This window comes from Homo sapiens, chromosome 9 (assembly GCF_000001405.40).
Source record: "Homo sapiens chromosome 9, GRCh38.p14 Primary Assembly".
NCBI lineage: Eukaryota > Metazoa > Chordata > Mammalia > Primates > Hominidae > Homo > Homo sapiens.
The window spans coordinates 21,574,956-21,578,147 of NC_000009.12; the positions used below are offsets into that span (position 1 = coordinate 21,574,956).

The following is a 3,192-nucleotide window of genomic DNA, read 5'->3' on the forward strand; positions in this document are numbered from 1 at the left end:
CCCACATTTGCTTTGTCTGTAGAAGTAAGTTTTCTGAAATCCCTTTCATCACTATCATGCAGAACTTATTTCAACAATTGTAAAAAACAACAAACAAACAAAAAAAAACTGGTGGAAAATTGGGGACATATGGGAAATCTAAATACCAACTGGGTATGACATGATAAGGAACTTGTTAATTTTCTTAGGAGTGAATCGTATGTAAGAAAATGTCTTCAAATTTTAGAGATCCATACTAAAGAATTTAAAGGCTGAGGTAATGGTATCTGGACCTTACTTTAAAACAACTGAGCAAAGAGATAGTAGCCAAAGGAAATACAGTAAAATTATCATTATTAAGGCTAGGTGATCAATATGTGGGGCTTTATTATAATATTCTCTCTACTTTGAAATGTACTTGAAATTTTTAATAACAAAGTTAAAATAAATGTAATATTATGTGTTTCCTAATTCTGATACTATCATACTTGCCCAATTTTGTGTGTGTGTGTGTGTGTGTGTGTGTGTGTGTGTGTGTGTGTAAGACAGGGTCTTGCTTTGTTGCCCAGGCTGGAGTACAGTGGTATGATTACTGCTCACTGAAGCCTTGACCTCCCAGGCTCCAGCAGTCCTCCTAATTCAGCCTTCCAAGTAGCTGGGACTACAGGCACATGGCACAATATCAGGCTAATTTTTGTAATTTTTTGTAGATTTGTGGTCTCCCTATGTTGCCTAGGCTGGTCCCAAACTCCTGGGCCCAAGCGATCCGCCCACCTTGGCCTTTCCCAATTCTTACAGCAAAAAAGAGTATACAGTTGATATGAACCATTCTCTGAACATCATTTGTTTTTACTGTACCTGCTTCTGTCATAATGAACAAGAAGTGTGAAGGATATTTATCTGTCCATAGCAGCAGATGACAATGTTTTATGCTGAACTACAGCGGACAGGTGATGTGCAAATATATGAAACTCTCAAATATATAACTGGCTCTGCTTCTTAGAAGCTTGTAGACTTGAAGTAAGCAACCTACCCGCTCTAGGCTTTTTCTGTGAAAAGGGCTATAATTGGATCTACTTCCAGGCTATTGTTAGGATTTAGGACATAATGCATACAAATCACTCGGCTCATTGCCTGAAACATAGTGAGAACCCAATAAACATCATAGCACCCAAAAAACATAAATACCTTTTAGCAGCAGTCAAAAAAGGTAAAACATTTGTGTTCTACCTCACAAGGAGTTTCCACACTGTAGCTGGGAAACAAATCACCCCTTAATAAGGTTAAGCTATACAGTATAGCTCAGTTTTCATCTTTCACGTCTCAAACAGAAACATCATGTGGATCTTTCACTCAAACCAAATGGAAGTTGTTTTCCTTTCCACAACAATATGAATTCCCTTGGTTAGACAGTAAGAAGGTCACTGGACAATTTCTGAACTGTGAATAAGCAAATACAAAGAGAAGGAAAAAAGCTGGGTTTGTTGAGCAGGCATTGCTCATTCCAGACTGATGACACAACTTTTGGTTAAGGATAGTGAAGATAGAGAAAGCAGTTGCACTGACATTTCAACACATTCCTTTAGCCATGGTAATTAACGCCTCAACTTCTGGATTCAGGGAACGGCCCTCTCTCTGCTGAGGACATTCATTTCAAAGGTGTGCTTTTAAGTGAATTGAAAAGGACCCTAAAGAGAAAGGCTGCCTTTCATATCTCGTCTCTCTCTTCAGTGAATCTGGACACAGTGCTTTCATCTTCTCATTGCCCAGCTTAGGTCCCCTTTTGTTTTGTGGTGCCCTGTTACGTTGCTTTGTTTTGGTTTCTCTGGGAGGCCTGCCAACCCTAGCCTCAGAGAAGGCTCGAAATGATGAGATCAAATGTTTTGAGACAGTGTTACATTTCCTTTTTTTCCCCAAGCTTTTCTTTGTTTAGCTCTATGCCTCCTGTCATCTTAAATCTTCTCTTCCTTATGTAGTGCCTCTATAGCCAAAGAGATTGCTAAGTCACAGAATCACGTACTTTGAAGTAATTTCTTGAGAGTAATGAAACTCAGCTACCTGACAGAAAAATCCCCTTTATGATAACTCCAACCCATGCTTATGCTCAAATATGACTTGCACACACTTCATACAGGGGAGTTCCTTGCACCAATACTAGTTTTTAAATGTAGTTTTTAGAACGTTCTTCCTTATGGTTTTAGAACTGTAATTAATCTTAATTCTAGTTAATGGAGTTAAACAGAAGGAATCATATCCCCTCCTCTCCCACCTGTTTTCTCTTTTTCAGATTTAGAATCTCATTTTCTAAACATTATGTAGAAATTAAGATGTAGAAGGGGAGGGTGATCATAAAAATATACAGACAGGCTTTACAGAATTCATTCCTTCATTCAAAAAATAATTCAAAGTACGAGCCAGGGGATTCTAAGTTTTGAAGTGAGGAGTAACTTGATCTATAGAAGGAATTGAAACAAAAACTGCATGAATAGACTTTTGAGTCAGGGAGGGTCTTCCCAGATGAAGCTGGGTTTTGTAGACTTAGGGACATTTTTCCAAAAATAATAAAAAAACAGGGAGGAGTTTTAAGCAGCAATGTCATAGGGTTTCAAGACATTTTGCCATTATGGCTACCCTCTTCTGGACAGACTGTAGTTATTCACCATTCTGTTTCAGGTGCACAGCGCTAACCATACCATCCAGACAGGGGCTGGTGAGTCCACAGTAGGCTGAGCCATCACCTCCTTTGTTCTGGACATTAGATTGATGCATCCTAATGATGTATTTACTTGGATGGTCACTTTGTCATTCTGTTTTGTATCAGATAGATCTGGTGGTCGACTAAAATCAATACCTGGTTTGGGTTGGATTTTTGATGCTAGATATGCTATACAGAAGCTGGACCACAAAGGAAACTCACGTCAACTTGAGATGCCCAGCATTAAGTTTCTCTTCTCTTTCTGCATCTAATTGAGCCTATATGATGAGAGTTTTGCTTTTGTTCTGGTTTTTCTCTTTTCTTCTATAATTTTTTTCTAATGATGACAGCAAACTTGGAAAATACAGAAAAACAAAGTGAAGCAAGTAAAAATAATTGAAATAAGCATAGATAACCATTGTTATCACTGCTATTGACATCTTTCACTAAGTATCATTTTCCATGGTTGAAATCATACTGTCATGTAGTTTTATATAGCCTGTTTTATAACTATTATT

The 3,192-nt window shown here is 37.9% G+C and overlaps 1 annotated feature.

The window, feature by feature from the left end:
* Nucleotides 2,025–2,074: a silencer, noted in NCBI's record as "silent region_19808". NCBI's record gives its function as "represses an Ori minimal core promoter by ATAC-STARR-seq in GM12878 lymphoblastoid cells {active_cell/tissue: GM12878}" and the evidence as "EXISTENCE:reporter gene assay evidence [ECO:0000049][PMID:35858748]".